The sequence below is a fragment of the Homo sapiens genome, chromosome 7 (assembly GCF_000001405.40).
Source record: "Homo sapiens chromosome 7, GRCh38.p14 Primary Assembly".
NCBI classification, from domain to species: domain Eukaryota; kingdom Metazoa; phylum Chordata; class Mammalia; order Primates; family Hominidae; genus Homo; species Homo sapiens.
The window spans coordinates 148,563,656-148,586,102 of NC_000007.14; the positions used below are offsets into that span (position 1 = coordinate 148,563,656).

The 22,447-nt window shown below is 42.3% G+C and overlaps 1 long non-coding RNA gene and 1 pseudogene across 2 annotated transcripts in view, besides 4 other annotated features; one reads left to right on the plus strand and one right to left on the minus strand.

Moving 5' to 3' along the window:
• The window catches only part of LOC124901766 (uncharacterized), a 28,671-nt gene extending 20,095 nt beyond the window's left edge, over nucleotides 1-8,576 (minus strand). The window contains exons 1-3 of one of the 2 annotated variants that reach the window (XR_007060578.1): nucleotides 8,469-8,576; nucleotides 4,445-4,623; nucleotides 3,088-4,185 (exon numbers count right to left, since the gene is read on the minus strand). This is a non-coding gene — a long non-coding RNA (uncharacterized LOC124901766). Of the gene's footprint in view, nucleotides 1-3,087; nucleotides 4,186-4,444; nucleotides 4,624-8,468 lie in introns of those variants that run through there. The other variant, XR_007060577.1, reaches the window with a different exon arrangement.
• Nucleotides 739-878: an enhancer, noted in NCBI's record as "active region_26799". NCBI's record gives its function as "activates an Ori minimal core promoter by ATAC-STARR-seq in GM12878 lymphoblastoid cells {active_cell/tissue: GM12878}" and the evidence as "EXISTENCE:reporter gene assay evidence [ECO:0000049][PMID:35858748]".
• Nucleotides 3,664-4,472: an enhancer, noted in NCBI's record as "OCT4-NANOG hESC enhancer chr7:148264411-148265219 (GRCh37/hg19 assembly coordinates)". NCBI's record gives its function as "activates a minimal SCP1, AML or CMV promoter by ChIP-STARR-seq in naive and primed H9 embryonic stem cells {active_cell/tissue: H9 hESC(naive and primed)}" and the evidence as "EXISTENCE:reporter gene assay evidence [ECO:0000049][PMID:30033119]".
• Nucleotides 7,956-9,155: an enhancer, noted in NCBI's record as "CDK7 strongly-dependent group 2 enhancer chr7:148268703-148269902 (GRCh37/hg19 assembly coordinates)". NCBI's record gives its function as "activates an origin of replication core promoter dependent on BRD2, BRD4, P300/CBP, MED14 and CDK7 cofactors, with strong dependence on CDK7, by STARR-seq in HCT116 cells {active_cell/tissue: HCT116}" and the evidence as "EXISTENCE:reporter gene assay evidence [ECO:0000049][PMID:35650434]".
• Nucleotides 11,982-12,276: an enhancer, noted in NCBI's record as "tiled region #1537; K562 Activating DNase unmatched - State 12:CtcfO". NCBI's record gives its function as "activates a minimal TATA promoter and a strong SV40 promoter by Sharpr-MPRA in K562 cells {active_cell/tissue: K562}" and the evidence as "EXISTENCE:reporter gene assay evidence [ECO:0000049][PMID:27701403]".
• RPL32P17 (ribosomal protein L32 pseudogene 17) lies at nucleotides 16,695-17,201 on the plus strand (annotated as a pseudogene).

Below are 22,447 nucleotides of genomic sequence, written 5' to 3' on the forward strand. Positions count from 1 at the left end.
AAGCAAGAATCAACTGTATGCCCAAGAGATTCTGTTCTCCTTAACAAAACCCTGCCCTCAAGGAAAACTACCTTACCAGAGCCCAGCCCCTTTGGGTTTTACCAGAGTCTAATCAACCTGAGGGAAGGGAAATACCCAACTCCAGCCCCATCTCACCTTCCTGTCTTGCCTGAAGGGGAGAGGGAGGGCAAAGGGGTGCTGAGAAGACAACCCGGGGGCACAGGCTCACTAAAAGGCCAAGGCCTAATCCTAAAGGGATAGAACACCTCCCCTCCCCGACACCTTCCCATCACATCAGCAGGAGATTACAGCTGAAAGAATTACAAGCCTCAGACCCTATTTAGGAAAAAGTCCCAGAGGAAACCCAAAGACAATAGGAGAGACAAAAATAAGAGTATCAGAGATTATTTTAACCTCTGACATGTCCAACTAGAAGCAAACAGCAAACAGCCACTTTCTAGCCAGAGTTTCATAAAACTGAAAGTCCCAGTTCCTACCTCAGTTCCTTGTACCTGATACATCATAACTGGGTATCATCAAAAAAATTACGAGGCATGTTAAAAAGCAAAAAACACAGTCAGAAAAGACAAATCAGTCTCCCCAAGCATTCGGGGAGCAGAGTTTTTAAGGACAACTTGGTGGGTGGGAGGAAGCCAGTGAGCCAGGAGTGCTGATTGGCCAGGGATGAAATCACAGGGAGTCGAAGCTCTCTTCTTGTGCTGAGTCAGTTTCCAGGTGGGGCCACAAGATCAGATGAGTCAGTTTACCAATCTTGGTGGTGCCAGCTGATCCATCAAGTGCCGGGTCTGCAGAATATCTCAAGCACTGATCTTAGGAGCAGCTTAGGGAGGGTCAGAATCTTGTAGTCTCCAGCTGCATGACTCCTAAACCATAATTTCTAATCTTGTGGCTAATGTTAGTTCTACAAAGGCAATCTAGTCCCCAGGCAAGAAGGAGATCTGCTTTGGGAAAGGGCTGTTATCATCTTTGTCTTAAACTACAAACTAAGTTTCTCCTAAAGTTAGTTCAGCCTTTGCCCAGGAACAAACAAGGACAGCTTGGAGGTTAGAAGCAAGAGGAAGTCGATTAAGTTAGATCTCTTTCACTGTCTGAGTCATAATTTTGCAAAGGCAGTTTCAGTTTTGGAGCTATTTATGAAATGCTGATGGTTGCCAACAATGGAACAATATTCTCTTCCTATGGACTTCATGATCTAAATTGTTAAGCTTTCTCAGAGGTGGATAACAGTACGGGAGAGGCCATAATGGCATTCAATTATATTTTTTAGAAAAAAATTAGCAGTCCAAAATTAACAGAAACAAATTTTGCTTTACCAATAATAAACAACATTTCCTTTACAGAAAACATTAAAGAAATACAAATGTCAAAATATGTTCAGGTACCTTCTAACAAATTTTCAACCGTTATTAATCACAGATTAATCATAGATTGTTATCACTCTGGTTTCCCCTGCAGTTTTAAAATAAACCTTTAACTCTTCCTCCTAATTACTGGTGCTTCATGGTTTGAAAACCTGAGCCTTGAAAATGTTCCTAGAAAGCTTTTTGAGATATAATTTTTAATTACATATTTTTTATCATAAATAGAATGGTTTTGTATACATCTAGAATGTATGTGAAGACATTAAGAAGACTTAAATCATCTGTTGTTATTGACTTTTGACAATCAGACATTCCTATTCAGTTAGGTGAGCTTAGTTCTTGACTACAACCTGGTCAGCTGCATTTTTCTGCAAGAAAGAGAAACTGGATTTCACTCCACAACGCTGTCTTTCTCCTGCAGCCTGGATTATGCTGGAAAAGTCACAATAGAGTCACGATGCATAACCATAGGCCTCATGCCTCCCTTTCTTATAAGAAGGCACCAAAGTTAACTTTTCAAAAGGTTAAAAATGTAATTTATGTATAAGGTAGAGAATGAATGCATGTCAAAAAATTTTTTTTCTACCCATTAATAAGAGAACTAGCAAGATGGCAAAACTGGCTCAAGGAACATTTGAGGAAATGGATATTTATAGGTATTTGAGAAAAGAATGTTAGTGACTACTATTTTTTTTTTTTTTTTTTTAGACAGAGCTCGCTTGCCACCCAGGTTAGAGTGCAGTGGCATGATCTCAGCTCAGTGCAACCTCCACCTTCCAGGTTCAAGTAATTCTCCTGCCTCAGCCTCCGAAGTAGTGGGGATTACAGGCATGTACCACCACATCCAGCTAATTTTTTGTATTTTTAGTAAAGACAGGGTTTCACCATGTTGGCCAGGCTGGTCTCAAACTCTTGACCTTAGGTGTTCCGCCCATCTTGACCTCCCAAAGTGCTGGGATTACAGGTGTAAGCCACTGCACCCAGGCAGTGACTACTATTTATAATGCAGTAACTTGGATGGGATCTTGGAACAGAGAAAGGACATTAGGAAATCTGAATAAAGTATGGGCTTTAGTTAATAATAATATATCAATGTTCGTCAGTTGTGACAAATGCACCATATTAACATAAGCTTAATAATAGGAAAAAGTGGGGATGAGGCAAGTAGCAACCCTCTGTACCATAAGAGTTAAAGAAAAAGGAAAGAAACATGAAACGTGCTTAACAGTCAAAGATAGGTTTATTTTTGTGGAAAAAAACCTGAGAGGGGCTTCTGGCCAATTTCAGTCAGGAGCACCCTCTCTTACAGACTAAGAGTATATATTGGTTTTAGGGTGAGGGGGTTTATCACAAGCTTGGAATATGTTCGTGTAGGGGAGAAGTTTATGGCAGGGTTGGAATGCCTCTGGGTGGAGGGGAGGTTATCTTTGGGGCTGACATCTTTCTGGCCAGTGGGAAGGTTGTCTCAGGGCTGGCACATCTCTGGTCAGGGAGGGATTTGGAATGTTTCTGGTCAGAGATGTCATTTGTGGTTTACAGTCATAGGCTGATCCCCTTTGGATTTAGGCAGTTTTTGATCAACGTGAACTTAAAATGACAGTGCTTGTCCAAGATGGCAATACTCCTGCTCTGTCATGTATTATCTTCACAAATTTTGTAAATCTAAAACTGTTTTAGATTTACAAAAAAAAAAAAAAAAAACTGCTTTAAAGTTTTAAAGATTTTATTTTTAAAAAAATGAAAAAAATGTTAGCATAAGAGCCCTAGGTTATACAAAACAAGTTAATATCCTGCAACGCACTAAAGCAGTAATTATAACCTTTTAGGTTATCTTTTCTACCAGACAGAATTGATTTGCATCACTGCCAGACAAATACCTCACGATAACATGTAACTTCACAGACCTCGGCCCTTTAATCATTAATAGATCGCGGGACAAACAAGAACATTGCCCTAAATATTTAAATAATCTTCAGATAGACCTATTCAACAATGCTCCAAAATGACATTGGAAGGACACGCCTTCCTCCTTGAGCCTTATTTCTAAGTTTTGAATATAAAATGAGCTTAAAAAAAATCTTCCAATAGTTTGCCTTCTGAATATATTTAGACATTCTAAAATAGCAGACAATTCAACTTTAACCTAACTTTTTCTACATAGTGAGATATTGCTGAAGCCTGGGGAGCAGGATTTTCAATAGGGGTGCCAGGTTTAGCAAATAAAAACAAAAGACGCTCTGGTAAATTCGGATTTCAGATAAAGAACAAATAATATAATGTAAATGTAATAAACAATAATTTTTAGTGTAAGTGGATCCCAAATATCACATGGCTTCATATTATTATTTCTTTGGGCTCGTCCAGTACTAATACTCTATGAAACATTTCCTTAGCAACAAATCACAAAGATAGCAGACACATTTTTTTCTACATGCACTTTGAATCCATTCATATTTTCAGCTTCTTATGTTCTCTACAAACACAAAACTATGTTTGAATACTGTACTCCATTTGCTTTGCTACATAAGCAATTTAAAATGTCACAGAGGATCTCAGCGTTGGATGATACAGGAAGACAATGAGATAGCTTTGTAGCCTTACAACACCTGGGGTTTGGCTCTTAGTGAGACAAAGGTAATCCCAATTATTCACCGTGTTCCTGATCTTCCCAAGGCAAGGACTTGAAAAACGCCCTATTATTTAGACTGACCTAATTCAAAGTTCTTTGCAGCTTACCTCGTGCTAATCACTGGCAAGTGGTCTCCAGCTGCTCTTTGGTTTTGGTTGTTTCACGTCCTTGATCCTACATGGTAGTGGGAAGATTTCCTGATCATTTTTAATAAATTAAATTTTACTTCAGTTTTTTTTCAGGCATAACTGAGAACCTATAACCATAACTGCATTTTACCCTTTCTGTGTTTAATAAGAGTGACAAAAACCATGATAGACATTTTTTCTACACTGAAAATAGAAGTTAAATGTGTATACTGTTCTCCAAAATAAAAGCATATCTCAGAAATTCACCTCATTCAGACCAATGGATTTGTGAACTCTTTTCTCACCTCTAGAACCTTCTTAAGTTGAGCCAATGAGAAAACAAGTTCAGTAGTCAGTGATGGATCCATCTCAGAGGAGCAGAAATCCACAGGCCTATTCTCCCCAGTGACTGACCACAGCTACATCAGCAGATCTGAACCACCGTCCCATTCTCCTCCTCTCCCGGGGCCATGCGCCTCAGACACTGGGAAAATGCAAAGTGTAGAGACCGTGATTTCAACTTTGAGTAGAGTAAAATAGTGCCCCTTCTAGAACTCAAGGTTCTTATTCCATTCCCATCTCAGGTGGTGGATCCTAATAAACCCAACTATCAGCATTTGTCTTTTTTCAGACTCTAAGTGAATTACTAAAGGATGTACTCAGGCAGAGAGAAAGTGACTCAAGACAGCTGGTCTGAAGAGTATGAAGGCATAAAGAACAAAGAAACAGATCATCTGTAGCTGATTGTCCATGAACATTGATTAAGTAATACTATGTAAATTGGTAATAATAATGTCTAATGAAATTCCCAAGGCTGGGTGTGGTTGCTCATGCCTCTAATCTCAGCACTTTGGGAGGCCAAGGTGAGCGGATCACTTGAGGTCAGAAGTTCGAGACCAAGCTGGCCAACATGGCAAAACCCCACCTCTACTAAAAATACAAAAATTAGCTGGGCACCCAACTCGTGGCAACCATGAGTTCTAACAAATTGTCAAGAAAGAATATTTGTGGTATTACACAAACTCTTCTAGAGATTTATAAATGAGGAAGGGGACACAATCCCCAACTCTAAATAATTTTTTATGACACTAGCATAACCTCAACATAAAACTCAGTGAAGATAGTGCAAGAAAGGAAAGTTTGATGCCAATTTCATTCTTGAACATAGATACAAAAATCCTGAAAAACAAAATTAGACTGAATTCATTAATATATTAAAAATATGTAAATATGGCCAGGCACGGTGGCTCATGACTGTAGTCCCAGCTACTCGGGAGGCTGAGGTGGGAAGATCAATTGAGCCCCAGAGTTCAAGGCTGCAGTGAGCTGTGATCATACCACTGCACTCCAGCTCGGGCAACAGAACAAAACTCTGTCTCAAAATAAAATGAGAAAAGATAAAATACATAAATATATAAAAATCAAACTGGGTTTATCCCAGGAATTGAAGGTTGATTTAACATTGCAAAATTAATTCATATAAACACTAACAGATTAAAGAAGAAAAATGTCAATAAATAAATACAGAAAAACAGCTTTGATCAAAATCAAAATTAATCTCTCTTCTTTTTTTTTTTTTTCTTTTTTAGACAGTCTCACTCTGTTATACAGGCTAGAGTGCAGTGGCACAATCTCGGCTCACTGCAACCTTCACCTCCCAGGCTCAAGCGATCCTCCCACCTCAGCCTCTCAAATAGCTGGGATTACAGGTGTAGGCCACCACACCTGGCTAATTTTTGTATTTTTAGTAGTCATGGGGTTTCACCATGTTAGCCAGGCTGGTCTCCAACTCCTGGCCTCAAGTGATCTCCCTGCCTTGGCCTCCCAAAATGTTGGAATTACAGGCTGCTGTGCTGGACCAAAATTAATCTCTATGCTTAAAATCCATAGCAAATTGGGAATAGAGTAAACATTAATGTGATAAGGACATCTACAAAAAAATGTACAGTAAATATCATGCTTACAGTTGAAACACTTATAGGCTTTGGGATCAGCATATAACAAGGCTGCTTGTTATCAACTCTTCTAATCAACTCTCTACTGGACATTCTAGCTAACATGATAAAGAAAGAAAAAGAAATTGAAAAGAAAGGGAAAACTTTCAGAAGATTTACACTAAAACTATGTACTTAAGTCCAAATTTACCCACTGATTAGTTATTAAACTTAATAGCAGAATTTATCTCTTTGGCTTGACACAAAATCAACATATCAAAATGAATTGTAGTCCAACTTATAAGTAGCAAATAATCAGAAAATTAAATTTTAGAGACATCACTTATAATAACATCAAAAACTATGACATTTCCAGATATGAAGATGTGTAAGACCTCTACAGAGAAAATTAAGTTTGTTTTGGGAGACATTGAAAAAGATTTTTTAAAATGCAGAGATACACTGTGTTCAAGAATTGTTAAGACTTAGTATTCCAGTTTAATCACTAAATTGATTGATAGATTTTATGTAATTCTAAACGAAGTCACAGCAGCTTTTTGCTTTTGAAAAAACTGACAAACTGATCCTAAAATGTATGTGTAAATGCAAACGTCCAAGAATAGCCAATTCATTCCTTAAGATGTAGGAAAGAAACATGGAAAGATTTGCTTTTATCGTCTTTCCAAACATATTACAAAGCTTTAAGAATTAAGCCAGTATAGCATTGTCTCAGAGACAAACACACTAATAAAACAGATCAGAAGGCAGAAACAGACCCCCATACTTATAGAGACTTGATAATGTAACTGCCCAATGGGTTCACCTCGCCCACTGCCTAGACAGAGCCAACTTATCAAGACAGGGGAATTGCAATAGAGGAAGTGTAATTCACTCAGAGCCAGCTGTGTGGGAGACCGGAGTTTTGTTATTACTCAAATCAGTCTCCCTGAGAATTCAGGGAGCAGAGTTTTTAAGGACAACTTGGTGGGTGGGAGGAAGCCAGAAGCCAGTGAGCCAGGAGTGCTAATTGGTTAGGTAGGAGATGAAATCATGGGAAGTTGAAGCTGTCCTCTTGCACTGAGTCAGTTCCTGGGTGGGGCCCACAAAATCAGATGGGCCAATTTATCAATCTGGGTGGTGCCAGCTGACCCATCAAGTGTAGAGTCTGCAAAATATCTCAAGCACTGATCTTAGGAGCAGTTTAGGGAGGGTCAGAATCTTGTAGTCTCCAGCAGCATGACTCCTAAACCATAAGTTCTAATCTTGTGGCTAATTTGTTAGTCCTACAAAGGCAGTCTAGTTCCCAGGCAAGAAGGAGGTTTGTTTTGGGAAAGGGCTGTTATCATCTTTGTTTTAAACTATAAACTAAGTTTCTCCCAAAGTTAGTTCAGCCTATGCCCAGGAAGGAATGAGGACAGCCTAAAGGTTAGAACCAAGATGGAGCTGGTCATGTTAGATCTCTTTCGCTGTGTCAGTCATAATTTTATAAAGGTGTTTTCAATCAGGGACAGAGGCGGAACGGCAGACAGGAAAAAAAGAAGGATTTTTCAATAGATAATCCTGGGGCAACTGGACCCCTATATAAAGATAGATTGCATACCAAAATCAATTCAAAAGGAAATAAAGACCTAAAGATGAAGAGAAAAACTATAAAACTTCTAAAATATAACATAGAAGAATGTCTTTATTACTGCTAAGTGAAGTTAAACTAAAAGATAAAAACAAACACAAAATCAAAACAGCTGGGAAGATGTCTTCATTGCTTGTACGTGTGTACACCAGCTAGTTAAGTCACTGTATGGAGGGCATGACCAGTTTAACTACCATCCCCGGCATTGCAAAACACCAGAAAAATATTTCTGGGGCCAGGTGCGGTGGCTCATTCCTGTAATCCTAGCACCTTAGGAGGCCGAGGAGGGTGGATTGCTTGAGGCCAGGGTTTCGAGACCAGCCTGGCCAACACGGTGAAACCTCGTCTCTACAAAAAATACAAAAATTAGCCAGGCGTGGTAGGGTACGCCTGTAGCCCCAGCTACTCTGGAGGCTGAGGCAGGAGAATCACTTGAACCCAGGAGGCAGAGGTTGCAGTGAGCTGAGATCACGCCACTGCACTCCAGCCTGGGTGACAGAGCGAGACTGTCTCAAAAAAAATCTGAAAGTGAATTAATCACATATTCATATGAGTTCTGATACAGGAGTTAAAAAGAAATTACTTAGGCAGATAGTGAGGATACGGGATTCCTTGCTAAGGTTTTCCTTTTAATAAAAAGCAGCCCCCCAAATCATTTACTTTTCTAACAAAGAGCACCCTGTAAAATCGAGCTGCAAACATAGGCAAGCAAGCTGGAAGCTTGCACAGGTGAATGCCAGCAGTTGTGCCAATGGAAAAGGCTACCTGGGACTAGGCATGTTCAAAACGGCAGCTCCATCGTCTCTTTGTGCCAGCCACGTGTACAGTATGGCGCAGACAAGATGGCGCTGGCTGAGTGGAAAGTCCATCTGCAAAGTAAGATGAGGGTGGGGCAACCAGCCTTCCCTGCCACAATGTAAATGTCACACCTGGTTGAACCAATCTGGGGGCCCTATGTAAATCAGACACTGCCTCCTCAAGCCTGCCTATAAAATCTGCTGCGTCCACCACAGACCAGCTTTTCCCTTTCAGATGCGGAGAGAGACAGAGAGAGCGAGAGAAAGAATGAACTTCCTTAAAGTAGGACCTATATTTATTCAATTAGGACATATTCCGTTAATATATGCTCATAGAAATATTTTTGAACTGAAAGAGAAAAATCTGTTTCTGAAATATTTCTAATCTAACAATATTTATAATTACATTGTGATTACATAAATTAGAATTTAGGATTGCCTATACTTGCTTACCTGGTCTATTTTTCCAATATTTCTGAATAACTACATAACAAAATTTAACAGATACGACATGCGTGGTTCTCTGTGGAAAAAAAAACTATAAATTTGCTTCAAAATTCATGTACTGAGGAACAAACTTGAATGTTTACTTTTTTTAGGTTTTTAAAATACAGACTAACATAACTGCCAAATAATTTAGACAGAGTTATATTTATACTTCCACATTTCTCCCCTATAATTCATTCTCCTTTGCTTCCCCAGAGAAAGGGGGACGTGTAAGAATATTTATATTCAGCCCTCACTTTGTTGTAAAATCAAAGACCTAAGTAAATAGAGAGGAATTCTGCTTTAAGCTGTGAGAGATCTGTTATCATAATCAGAAGGTAAAAGTAATTTACCAAAGATAAGCATTCAAGCCCTAAATTTTTATCAAGAACAGAAATGTTTCTTAAAGCATGAAGTGTTTTACTAAGTTTTATACAGTTAGGAAAATGCCAATAAAATTTTCACTACCTGTTTTCGTAATAAAATGAATACTGCTGTATTTCATTTTCTGAATTCTGCCTTCATTTTCTTCAGTAAAACTGAAAATTGCACTTAGGAACAGACACACCTGAAAATATATTCAACTGTATTTATCTCACCTTTCAAGGTGAAATTCCAGATTTTAAAATTGTAGTTATCTCAGATGATTACCAGAATGCGATGTAATGATATCTTGCATTTATGATTATTGATGCACCTTTTTATAGATTCATTTTAATGTTGAACTACTTATTTTATATGCATTGATGAGCATAACTGTAATTAGTTGCCTAGTTTGGTAAATGAGTACCTGGGATAATTTATGAGTGCTTCTAATTTTTTTTTCTTTATGTCTTCTAAAAAAAAATGGGATACATGTGCAGAAGGTGCAGGTTTGTTACATAGGCATACGTGTGCCATGGTGGTTTGCTGCACCTATTGACCTGTCCTCTAAGTTCCTTCCCATCACCCCCCACCCCCAACAGGCCCTAGTGTAAGTTGTTCCCCTCTCTGTGCCCATATGTTCTCAATGTTCAACTCCCACTTATGAGTGAGAACATGAGGTGTTTGGTTTTCTGTTCCTGTGTTAGTTTGCTGAGGTTGATGGCTTCCAGCTTCATCCATGTACCTGCAAAGGACATGATCTCATTCCTTTTCATGGCTGCATAGTATTCCATGGTGTATATGTGCCATATGGTTCCATGTCTTTGCTATTGTAAATAGTGCTGCAAGAAACATATGTGTGCATGTGTCTTTATAGTAGAATGATTTATATTCCTTTGGGTATATACCCAGTAATGGGATTGCTGGGTCAAATGGTATTTCTGGTTCTACATCCTTGAGGAACCACCATACTGTCTTCCACAATGGTTGAACTAATTTACATTCCCACCAACAGTGTAAAAGAGTTCCTATTTCTCCACATCCTCTCCAGCATCTGTTGTTTCCTGACTTTTTAATAATCGCCATTCTGACTGGCATGAGATGGTATCTCATTGTGGTTTTGATTTGCATTTCTCTGATGATCAGTGATGTTGAGCTTTTTTTCATATGTTTGTTGACTGCAGAAATGTCTTCTTTTGAGAAGTGTCTGTTCATATTCTTTGCCCACTTTTTGATGGGGTTGTTCGTTTTTTCTTGTAAATATGTTTAAGCTCCTAGTAAATTCTGGATATTAGACCTTTGTCAGATGGGTAGATTGCAAACATTTTCTCCCATTCTGTAGGTTGCCTATTCACTCTAATGATAGTTTCTTTGGCTGTGCAGAAGCTCTTTAGTTTAATTAGATCCCATTTGTCAATTTTGGTTTGAGTGCTTCTAATTTTTAGTTCAGGCTTGACATTTTGATATTGACTTGAGTACTTTATATACCTTGCTGGATATTTTTGATAATTCACACTTACAATGAAGAATATAACTACAGAAACTTATAAGCATAAAGTTAAGCCTGGAATTTATTCATTCAATATTTATTTTTTTGAAATATAATGAGCTTCTGCTGTTTAAAAAGGACTCTCCAACCTGAAAAGCAATTTCTAAAGATATTTATTTTCTTCAAGTCAACTGTATTAGCTATGAATTAGAAACCTAATTTATTTTAAAACTTGAAGCTCTATTTTTAAATCTGGCTATTTTATTTATAAACCTAACTAATTTTTTATGAAAAAGAACAGCCACTTCTTTTTGTCCCTTTATTAATATTTCGATGAACTCTTACCTGACCAAATCATCTTTAAATGTTTAACATGACTTAGAAAATTAAATTCCCTTAGACACTTAAACTCTGATTACAAAATTAACACATCTGGTTCTCTCACTTCAAACACCTAAGAAAATGTCTTAGCTTAAGTTATCTACCCCCGTTGTGTAGCAGTAAGCCTGCCTTCTCATGACAACCTGTCACCTGTCAGCATACTGGCTCCCTCATTGCCTGCTGTCCACTGCCAGGAGGAGACCAAATGACCTGGCCAGTTGGCATCGACAGCTTTAGGTATGGTGGAAACCATATTGTATTCCCTATTGAAAGTGTCCAGACAAGAATTCATGTAAAAGTGGGCTGGGCGCGGTGGCTCACACCTATAATCCCAGCACTTCGGGAGGCCAAGGCAGGCAGATCACTTGAAGTCAGGAGTTTGAGACGAGCCTGGCCAATATGGTGAAACCCCATCTCTATTAAAAATACAAAAATTAGCCAGGCCTGGTGTAATCCCAGCTACTCGGGATACTGAGGCAGGAGAATCACTTGAAGCTGGAAGGTGGAGATTGGAGAATCACTTGAACCTGGAAGGCAGAGATTGCAGTGAGCTGAGATCACACCACTGCACTCCAGCCTGGGCAACACAGCCGGACTCCATCTCAAAATAATAATAATAATGGTAATAATTCATGTAAAAGTAATTTATTAGGAAAAAATGGTAAAGGAATGGAGAATTAGGGATAGGAAGGCGAGGAGGCCAAGTAAGGGTAACAATGTCAAAGTCGCATATAGAGTACCTTCAACTCAATCCCAGAGAGAGCTCTGGAGACAACATAGGTCACACTTGAGAACTGTCCTAATTAGCAGCAAAAGAGCAGAGAATTTATACCCCAGTAGCCATCAACTATTGGCCAAGGGCGGCCCCAAGGGAATATACGTTCTCAGGCATTTCCAGCTCTGGCCGCTGGAGGGCAGCCCTCCAACAAAGAGATGTGGCTCCTGACTGTTGGGAGAGAAAACCCTCAGGAACTAGTGTGCCCAAAAATGGTTCAAGGTCACAGGGGACATGGGTAGAGTACTGCCCACCCATTGTACCAGCCAGATCCATTTGTGCCTGTCAAGGTAATCCTCTGCGACAGGGGCTAGTCACAATTTCTAGAAGAAAAAGCTTTGAAGAGAAAGATGAGTGGAACAAGTTTCTACTGGTTGGTCCTCAGACTGTAACTGATTTTCACCTTTCTCCTCTACTCTCCATTCTAAATTTCCCTCATTCTAGGCCAGTATTTGTCTGATGGGTCATCTCTGAGGAGCCTGCACCCCTAGTTGTCACCCCCTGGTCACACTGTAGTTGCTGTAATTGTCTATTCACTGTTATAAGTGCAGAACAGTCTAAGAGGTGGCATGTGGGTTGTATTTTTGTTTTGTTTTCTGAGATGCAGTTTCACTCTTGTCACCCAGACTGGAGTGCAATGGCGCGATCTTGGCTCACTGCAACCTCCACCTCCCGAGTTCAAGAGATTCTTCTGCCTCAGCCTCCTGAGCAGCTGGGACTACAGGCACCCACCACCATACACGGCTAATTTTTGTATTTTTAGTAAAGACAGAGTTTCACCATGTTGGGCAGGCTAGTTTCAAACTCCTGACCTCAGGTGATCCACCCACCTCAGCCTCCCAAAGTTCTGGGATTACAGGCGTGAGCCATGGCGCCCAGCCGAGGTGCCCTAGTGGGTTCTAAACATGCACCTCTCTGCCCCCATCATGTAGCAGTAAGCCTGTCTCTTCATGACAACCTGTCACCTATCAGCGCACTGACTTCCTCATTGCCTGCTGTCCACTGCCAGGAGGAGACCAAATGACCCCACCAGTTGGCACCTACAGCTTTAGGTACTATGGAAACTGTATTGTATTCCCTATTGAAAGTGTCCTCCCTGCAAACCCTCAACAACCCAGCAGACATAAAGTTACAAGTATAGGAAGCCTGCATTTCCCAAGTGGGTCCCTGAAGGTGATAGTGAGAAGGGCCACTCCTACTTCTAGGCGTTGGTTCCCAGATGTCCATGTGCTACCCCTCAGGGGCAGAGCACATGTGATGATGGTTGGTTCCAAGGTATGTACTGTTCCCTAAAGGACAGTAAGCCAACCCCAGAGGTGTCCTCTCAAGCTGGGGGCTCAGATGTGCTTTTACCAGCCTGGGCAATACAGCAAGACCTTGTCTCTATTTTATTTATCTATTTTTTTTTTTTTTGAGATGGAGTTTTGCTCTTGTCACCCAGTCTGGAGTGCAGTGGCATGACCTCAGCTCACTGCAACCTCCACCTCCCAGGTTCAAGCAATTCTCCTGCCTCAGCCTCCCGAGTAGCTGGGGTAACAGGTGCCCGTCACCATGCCTGGCTTATTTTTGTATTTTTAGTAGAGATGGGGTTTCACCATGTTGGCCAGCCTGGTCTCGAACTCCTGACCTCAGGCAATCCACCTGCCTCAGCCTCCCAAAGTGCTGGGATTACAGGAGTGAGCCACCGTACCTGGCCTCTACTTTAAAAAAAAAATAAAAATTCACCAGGTGCAGTGGCATGTGTCTGTAGTACGAGCTTCTCAGGAGGCTGAGGCGAGAAGATCACCTGAACCCAGGAGTTTGCAATTGCAGTGAGCTATGGCCTCACTGCACTCAGGCCTGGACGACAGAGGGAGACCCTGTCTCCAAAAAAAAAAAAAAAAGATACGCTTTTGTTAGCACAATTCTCTAACCAACTGAGCTAACCAGCCCCTCTAAGATATGCTTTTAAAAGGACACTCCAATATTCTTCCAGGTCAGGAGCTGGACCTGGCTCAAGGATGGTTTAGCTAAAAATGGACGGCTACTGTGCTAGAACCCAACTTGAAAGTGACCTTGAGAAGGGGCGGTGAGGGGAAAGCCTTCCAGTGTGCAGAACTTTCGCTCGGTATGGAGGGAAATGTGCCCCAAGGACAGGATACGAATATACATGGACTTGGCTGGGGGGTGAGGAGCATGGGAGGACGAAGACTGGCTGATGGGGGAAAAGCAGTCTGAGAAAGACTTGTGACATGAGAGGGGCGTAGCCAGTGGATCCCTTGGTGATGTGTCCACTGTTGCACCTACTTAGCTATGAAGTGAGCCCCATCATGCAAGGCAGCGTTTTGCAAGATCTCCTGTCAATAAATTGGGCATTTTGTGTGCCCTTAGATAGTAGTGGCAAAAAATTTAAACCCGTATCTGGAAGCTATACCAATTCTGGTCACAAAGAAATCACTGCCACATATTTCTAGGGTGGAAAGTCTCTAACATAATCGACTTGCTGCCAAGTGCCTAAGTGGTCTCAAGAGATTGTACCATGTTGGCTAGGCGCGGTGGCTCACGCCTGTAATCCCAACACTTTAGGAGGCTGAGGCGGGCAGATCACATGAGGTCAGGAATCTGACACCAGCCTGGCTGATATGGTGAAACCCCGTTTCTACTAAAAATACAAAAATGAGCCGGGTGTGGTGGCAGTTACCTGTAATCCCAGCTACTTGGGAGGCTGAGGCAGAATTGCTTGAACCAAGAAGGCGGAGGTTGCAGTGAGCTGAGATCATGCCACTGCACTCCAGCCTGGGAAACAAAGGGAGACTCCATCTCGAAAAAAAAAAAAAAAAAAAAAGAAAGAGGTTGTACCATGTCATGGAGCCCAGTATTAGTGTCTGCTACTGACAGGCAGAGCAGGAGTCAAATTAGCCTTAGTGATCCAATGCTGTCAGGCACATTCACAACCTCTACCTCTCCCACCAAAGTTATTCCCCTGGTGGGCCCATGGTGTGAACACTGGGCTGGCTGAGGACGGCGGCTGGCTGACATCAAGGTGAGTCGTGCTGACCATCTGCTTATCCAGTGCCTCCTCTAAAGTGGATGTTCCTGGCTGGGCCTCGATGAAGATACCAAAAGTCTCACACACTGGGTGACTCCCCTAGGTCCACCCGCAGGCCTCTTTCCCAAACTCCTTTGCAGATCACTTCTTCCAGGGTCCTGACAAACCAGGCAAGCCTTAGCCACTGCTCAGGAGGCCAAGCGCATCCTTACCTGGGGCACTTTTCTCCACGTGAAGGAGAAGCTCTGTGGAGAGAGTTTGCGCTCACCATAAACTTCAGGGCCACTTCTGAGTCAGGCAGTCCTGCAGTAGAAGTCCAACCTTCCACAAACCAGGCCCAGATTGTTTCCTCCATCAGTTGGTCATAGGGAGCACCCCACAGGGCCATGGACAGAAGCTTGGGAGAAGAATGGATGCAAGGGCACTGAATGACATGGGGTCTGGACCGCCTCTTTGTGTAACTTACTTTTGCCCCAGACATGCTTAGGCTCCATCCTGGATGCAGCACTTTTACGTTATCCTAGATCGCTCTTTGCTCATGTCACTTTATGGCAGCACCATAGCAGCCAACGCGTGATAGGCACTCTGGTCATATGTTGGTTGATATCCATAGTCAAAATATATTTCGTGCCTGTATTAGTTCGTTTTCACGCTGCTGATAAAGACAGACCTGAGACTGGGTACTTTATAAAGGAAAGAGATTTAATGGACTCACAGTTCCACATAGCTGGGGAGGCCTCACAATCATGGCGGAAGATGATGGAAGAGCGAAGGGACGTCTTCAATGAGGCAGGCAAGAGATTTTGTGCAGGGAAACTCCCCTTTATGAAACCATCAGATCTCATGAGGCTTATTCACCATCACAAGAACAGCCTGGGAAAAACCCACCCCCGTGATTCAATTACCTCCCACCAGGTTCTTCCCATGACATATGGGGATGGATGATCACAATTCAAGGTGAGATTTGGGTGGGGACACAGAGCCAAACAATACCAGTGCCCAACAGCATAAGAAGAGCTTTTTCCAATGATGTATAGTTTTCCTCCCCAGGTGGCATGGCCTTGTTCAGAATTTTGGAGTCTATATTGACATGCTTTTAATGGGGTTTGCTAGAGATGGTATCTTTATCAAGCATGGATTCCTCTAGCACCGTGGGATCTGCTGAGCCATATGGCCCCAGTAGCAGGGCCATTTGTTCCACAGCTTGGACCTGCTGCTAAGCCCCCTCTTGCTCTGGGACCCACTCAGAAGTAACTACCCTCCATATGCAGGTACTTGCTGGGTGTCAGAGAGAAAATTGCTGCCACTAGTAAGCCTGAAATTGGAAAAAGGATCCAAGAGCAATGACAGCATCTGCCACAGAAGGCAAAAATTCTGCACTCTTTTAAGTGATTTTTATAAGTCATAATAGTAAATTTAGTAAATCAAGTTTTCTTAAATGTTGCAATGATTGTCTAAATACGAGAGAATACTCAAAGAATTCAAGATTACAGATTATTACCACACCCATATAAACACACCTAAACTGAATGCAGTGACTCACACCTGTACTCCCAGCACTTTGGGAGAGTGAGGTAGAAGGATCACTTGAGGCCAGGAGTTCAAGACCAACCTGGGCAACCTAGTGAGACCCCCCAACTTCTACAAAAATAAAAATTAAAAAATTAGCCAGTCTCTCTTCCTCGGTGCCGCCTACGGAGGTGACAACCATCTACTTGACATGATGGCTGACCTCAGACCCCTCATGAAGCCCAAGATTGTCAAAAAGAGGACCAAGAAGTTCATCTGGCACCAGTCAGATCGATGTGTCAAAATTAAGTGTAACTGGTGGAAACCCAGCAGTATTGGCAACAGGGTTTGGAGAACATTCAAGGGCCAGATATTGATGCCCAACACTGGTTATGGGAACAAAAAAACAAAGCACATGCCGCCCAGTGGCTTCTGGAAGTTCCTGGTCCACAATGTCAAGGAGCTGGAAGTGCCACTGACGTGCAGCAAATCTCCCTGTGCGGAGATCGCTCACAGTGTTTCCTCCAAGAACCACAAAGCCATATGGAAAGGGCAGCCCAGCTGCCCTCAGAGTCACCAACCCCAATGCCAGGCTGCGCAGCAAAGAAAATGAATACACAGCTCATGTGCATATTTTATTTATGCTTAAATAAAACCATTAAAACTGCCAAAAATTTAGCCAAGTATGGTGACACGTGCCTGTAGCCCTAGCTACCCGGGAGGCTGAGGCGTGAAGATTGCTGGAGCCCAGGAGTTTGAAGGCTGCAGTGAGCTATGATTGTGCCACTGCACTCCAGCATGAGTGATACAGTGAGATCCCATCTCTAAAAATAAATTAAAATAAGATAAAATCATAACAAATAAACACACCTTAAAATGTGAATTATTTCTTCATCATCTGTATTAGGATTCTCTTAAAAGGACAGAACTAATAGGATATAATAGGAGATATACATATATATTATATATATATAGGAGTTTATTAAGTATTAACTTACATGATCACAAGGTCCCACAATAGGCTGTCTGCAAGCTGAGGAGCAACGAGAGACAGTCTGAGTCCCAAAACTGAAGAACTTGGAGTCTGATGTTCGAGGGCAGGAAGCATCAGCACGGGAGAAAGACGTGGGCTGAGAAGCTAGGCCAGTCTCTCCTTTTCACGTTTTTCTGCCTGCTTTATATTCTCTGGAAACTGATTAGATTATGCCACCAGATTAAGGGCTGCCTTTCCCAGCCCCCTGACTCCAATGTTAACCTCCTCTGGCAACACCCACACAGACACACCCAGGATCAATACTTTGTATCCCTCAATCCAATCAAGTTGACACTCAGTTTTAAACATCACATCATCTCTCTACTTTTTAAAAAATATCTTCCTGGGGAAATGATTTTAAGGAGGTTAATTGATTGAAAATTCAGAATCAAAGAATTTCCAGACCACTGGGGGCACCGCTCCTCAGGATGTTTAACAAAATGCTCCCCAGAAACTATTGAGATGAAACCCACTGAATGGCCATCATTGATTTGACAGGTCAATGGAGTTTTTCTAGCTCTATTTCCATCAACAAGGTTTTAAGCAATCCCGTAAGTTTCAATTTCTTGAAACTCAATTCCTTTCCCCTAAATGACCTATGTGTTAAAATAAATGTGGACATTTTAAAGTCCCTGGGTTTCACTTCATCTTGTGGATAAAACCTTATTGTGTAACCTCCTGAAATGCAGTCTGGTGTATACTGGTAGAAAATGCACGCCTTCATCAGTCCCTATTCCACCCCCTTGCTTTTTTATCTTTTTCTTCATCTCATTGACCACCTTTTTTTTGAGATGGAGCCTCACTCTGTTGCCAGGCGGGAGTGCAGTGGTGTGATCTTGGTTCACTGCAACCTCTGCCTCCCGCGTTCAAGCAATTCTCCTGCCTCAGCCTCCTGAGTAGCTGGGACTACAGGTGCCCGCCACCACGCCCAGCTAATTTTTTTTTTTGTATTTTAGTAGAGATGGGGTTTCACCATGTTGGCCAGGATGATCTCGAGCTCTTGACCTCGTGATCTGCCTGCCTCAGCCTCCCAAAGTGCTGGGATTACAGGCATGAGCCACCACACCCAGCCTGACCACCATTTTTAATTACTGTGTGTGTGTGTTTTTTTTTTTTAGACATGAATTTTGGTTTTTAATTTTTTTAATTTATTTTTTAATCTTTTATTTCCAAAGATTATTGGGGAGCAGGTGGTGCTTGGTTACATGATTAAGTTCTTTAGTGGTGATCTGTGAGATTTTGGTGCACCCATAACCTGATGAATCACTGTTTTAATGAAGAGGAATAAAACCTACACACGTCATTCTGCCATGATGCCTCATACCACCTGAAAGAGTATACAGTCACACATGGAACATACACAGTCACTAACCTAACTGGAGAATGGTACAAAATACAATCGTTACAGGTCGTGCTAGGAATATTTCGAGCATATGGACAGCCTGTCTTCCTGGGATAGGTACCTGGAAGTCCCTGAGGCCTTATCTCCCTTCCTCTTTCCTTCTCCATCACTCTTCTCTCCACAGTACCAAGTTCATCTTGCTGGAGCCGCTAGGGCTCAGGCTGGTAAGCGCGCTTTTCACCCTGTGAGAAAGGCCTCTTCACGCAAGGTCCTGGCATGCTGCCTCTTGTGTTCAAGGTCAGCAGGGCTCATCCACTTTGGTCCTCTGTACTTCAAAGGGAAGCATTTGAAAATTAGTTTTGTTTTATTTTATTTTGAGATGGAGTCTCACTCTGTCGCCCAGGCTGGATGGAGTGCCGTAGCACGATCTCGGCTCACTGCAACCTCTGCCTCCCGGGTTCACGCCATTCTCCTGCCTCAGCCTCCCGAGTAGCTGGGACTACAGGCGCCTGCCACCACGCCCGGCTAATTTTTTGTATTTTTAGTAGAGACGGGGTTTCACCACGTTAGCTAGGATGGTCTAGATCTCCTGACCTCGTGATCTGCCCGCCTCGGCCTTCCAAAGTGCAGGGATTACAGGCATGAGCCACCGCACCTGGCCTCTTATTTTTTTGAGACAGAGTCTTGCTCTTGTCACCCAGGCTGGAGTGCAGTGGCATGATCTCAGTTCACTGTAACCTTCACCTCCTGGGTTCAAGCAATTCTCCTGCCTTAGCCTCCCAGAGAGTTGGGACTACAAATGAGCGCCACCATGCCCAGCTAATTTTTGTATTTTTAGTAGAGACAGGGTTTTGCCATGTTGGCCGGGCTGGTCTCAAACTCCTGACCTCAAGTGATCCACCCACCTTAGCCTCCCAAAGTGCTGGGATTAAAGGCTGAAAATTATTTTTAATGCAATTTTTATGCAGATGATATATGCTGCCTGGAGCAAGGAAGGGAAGAAATAAAGGATGAAAGGAACACCAAGAACCCCAGATCTTTCCCTACATTTTTCCCTCCAGCAAGGATCTCATTACTCCCAAAGCACTCTTAACCTACCCCACCATGACACAGGGGCTCACCAGTTCCTCTGCCTCTCCACCGCGATCATTCTACAGGTGATCCAGATTCACAGTGGAAGAATCAAAAACGAAAACTAAGACTGTAGCTCCAATATTGCTAGGTCTCACCTCTAAGTGTATTAAATATTCTCAGAAAGGGCTGGGTGCAGTGGCTTATAACTGCAATTTCAGCACTTTGGGAGCCCAAGGCAGGAGGATCGCTTGAGCCCAGGAGTTTGAGACCAGCCTGGGCAAAACAGTGAGACCCTATCTCTCCAAAAAAAAAAAAAAAAAAAAGCCAGGTGTAGTGGTATATGCCTGCAATTCTAGCTACTCAGGAGGCTGAGGTGGGAGGATTGCTTGAGCCTAGGAGGTTGAAGTAGCAGTGAGCTATGATGTGGCACCACTGCACTCCAACCTGGGCAACAGAGTGAGACCCTGTCAAAAGAAATAAAAGAAAAGAAAGAAAGAAAAGAGAGAAAGAGAGGAAGGAAAGAAGGGAGGGAAGGAGGGAAGAAAGAAAGAAAAGAATGAACTTCTAGCTCTTGTAGGTAGCCTAAATTAAATTTATGGACTGTTCCTATAATATTCGTTACTGATTCAGGAACTGTCTCCAATCTGAAACTCCTTGAAGAAACCTAGAACCTATTTTCAGCCTTCTCACCCCAGTCAACTCTGTCTGTTCCTCCCTGGCACAATGTAAAACACTTAGCTGTGTAATCCAAGTGTTGACTGGCCTCGCTGCCTGAAATATAATGAGAATGAGATAACATCAGCTTTAAAAAAAACTGTTGTAAAATATACATGCACAAATGTACCATCTTTATCGTATTTATGTGTCCAGTTCAATCACTTTCAGTAGAAACACATTGTTGTGCAGACATCACCACCATCCATCTTCAGAGCTCTTGCAAAACTGAAACTCTGTATACATTAAACAAGAATTCCTCATTTCCCCCTTCCACCAGCCCGTGGTAACCACTGTTCTACTTTCTGAATTTGACTACTCTACATACCCCTTATAAGTACAATCATAAAACATTTTGTGGGGTTTTTTGTGGTTGGCTTATTTCATTTAGCATAACGTCCTAAAAATTCATCCATGTTGTAGCATGTGGTAGAATTTCCTTCATTTTTAAAGCTGAATAATCTCCCATTGTATGGCTAGAACACATTTTGTTTATTTATTCATCTGTGTGTGAACACTTGCATTGCTTCTACCTTTTGGTTATTGTCCATAATGCTGATTTGAACATGGGTATAAACATTAGCTTTTAATGCCCAAATTATTATGACATCCAGAGCCTCTTAACTAGATGCCTTTCCCAGGTATTTCTGAGGATCTACAAATAAAATGACATGCTCCACACATCCGTCCGGTGGAAAGCTTGCGGCCTTTGGTGGTATCAGTCCTCAGACTGCCGCTGTCCACCTCCCCGCTGCAGATGACTTCCTGTAGGGTCTGCATCAGCTTCTGAAGCTGTTGCTGTTCTCACACAGTGCGCTTTAGTCAAGCATGGGCAAGGACCCCTCATGAACTTCCCATGGTGATAGATGAGACATAGCTTATACATTTAATAAGATAGCTTTAGAAGAAAATGACAGAAACTCCAATCGAAACTGACTCCAGCCAAAAAGAGAGAGTTCTTCAGTTCACAAAGCTGAAAAAGTACAGGCATATTCTTAATTTGGGCATGGCTGGATTCAGAGGCTCAGGTCTTCAGTCTGAAGATATGGCTTCAGGTCTTCACTCTGAAGACATGGCTGCACGTCTTCAGGATTCAAGTTCTCTTTCTTGGCTCTGTTGCGCTCTGTGTACTTTATTCTCCAAGTGGTGGTCCCCGGAAGCTCTAGGCTTGTTCCTTCCAAAGGTAAGAGGATGACTCTCCCCGACAGTCCTAGCAAGACCCAAGCCTGGCTCTGATTGGCCCAGCTGGGGTCACATGCTCAGCCATGAACCAGTCACCATGGCCAGCGGTGCACAGTACTCACATCGGCCAGCTCTGTTGTCACTAGTGTACCCACAAAGCCATGGGATGGGGCCAGCCCTGTCTGAAACCCATGGGACGAGTGGGGAATCCAATCTTCCCCAGGAAAATTGAAGGTGCTATTACCAAAAAAGGGTGAGTTGAACATTAGGAGGGCAAAAACAAATGTCCACTACTCTTGGGGATAATAGGAAATAATTGCAATACAGAAATTCTTTAAAACTGAATTCTAGATAAGACTGCTTTCAGAATTTGTAAGGCACGGACCATTCAACAGGGTCCCTTCTGGCCCATGAGGCCCGGAGAAAGGGCAGTTTCTCCATGCCCTCTCCCAGGCCAAAGGCCACTTCCCCAGGCCTCATTCCCCATCCTGGGATTATTGATCTTCTCAAGATCTTTGATGGTGGGAATATCCACTCTCTCTGGGAAAAATTCCCAATTCCTGCCAATAGT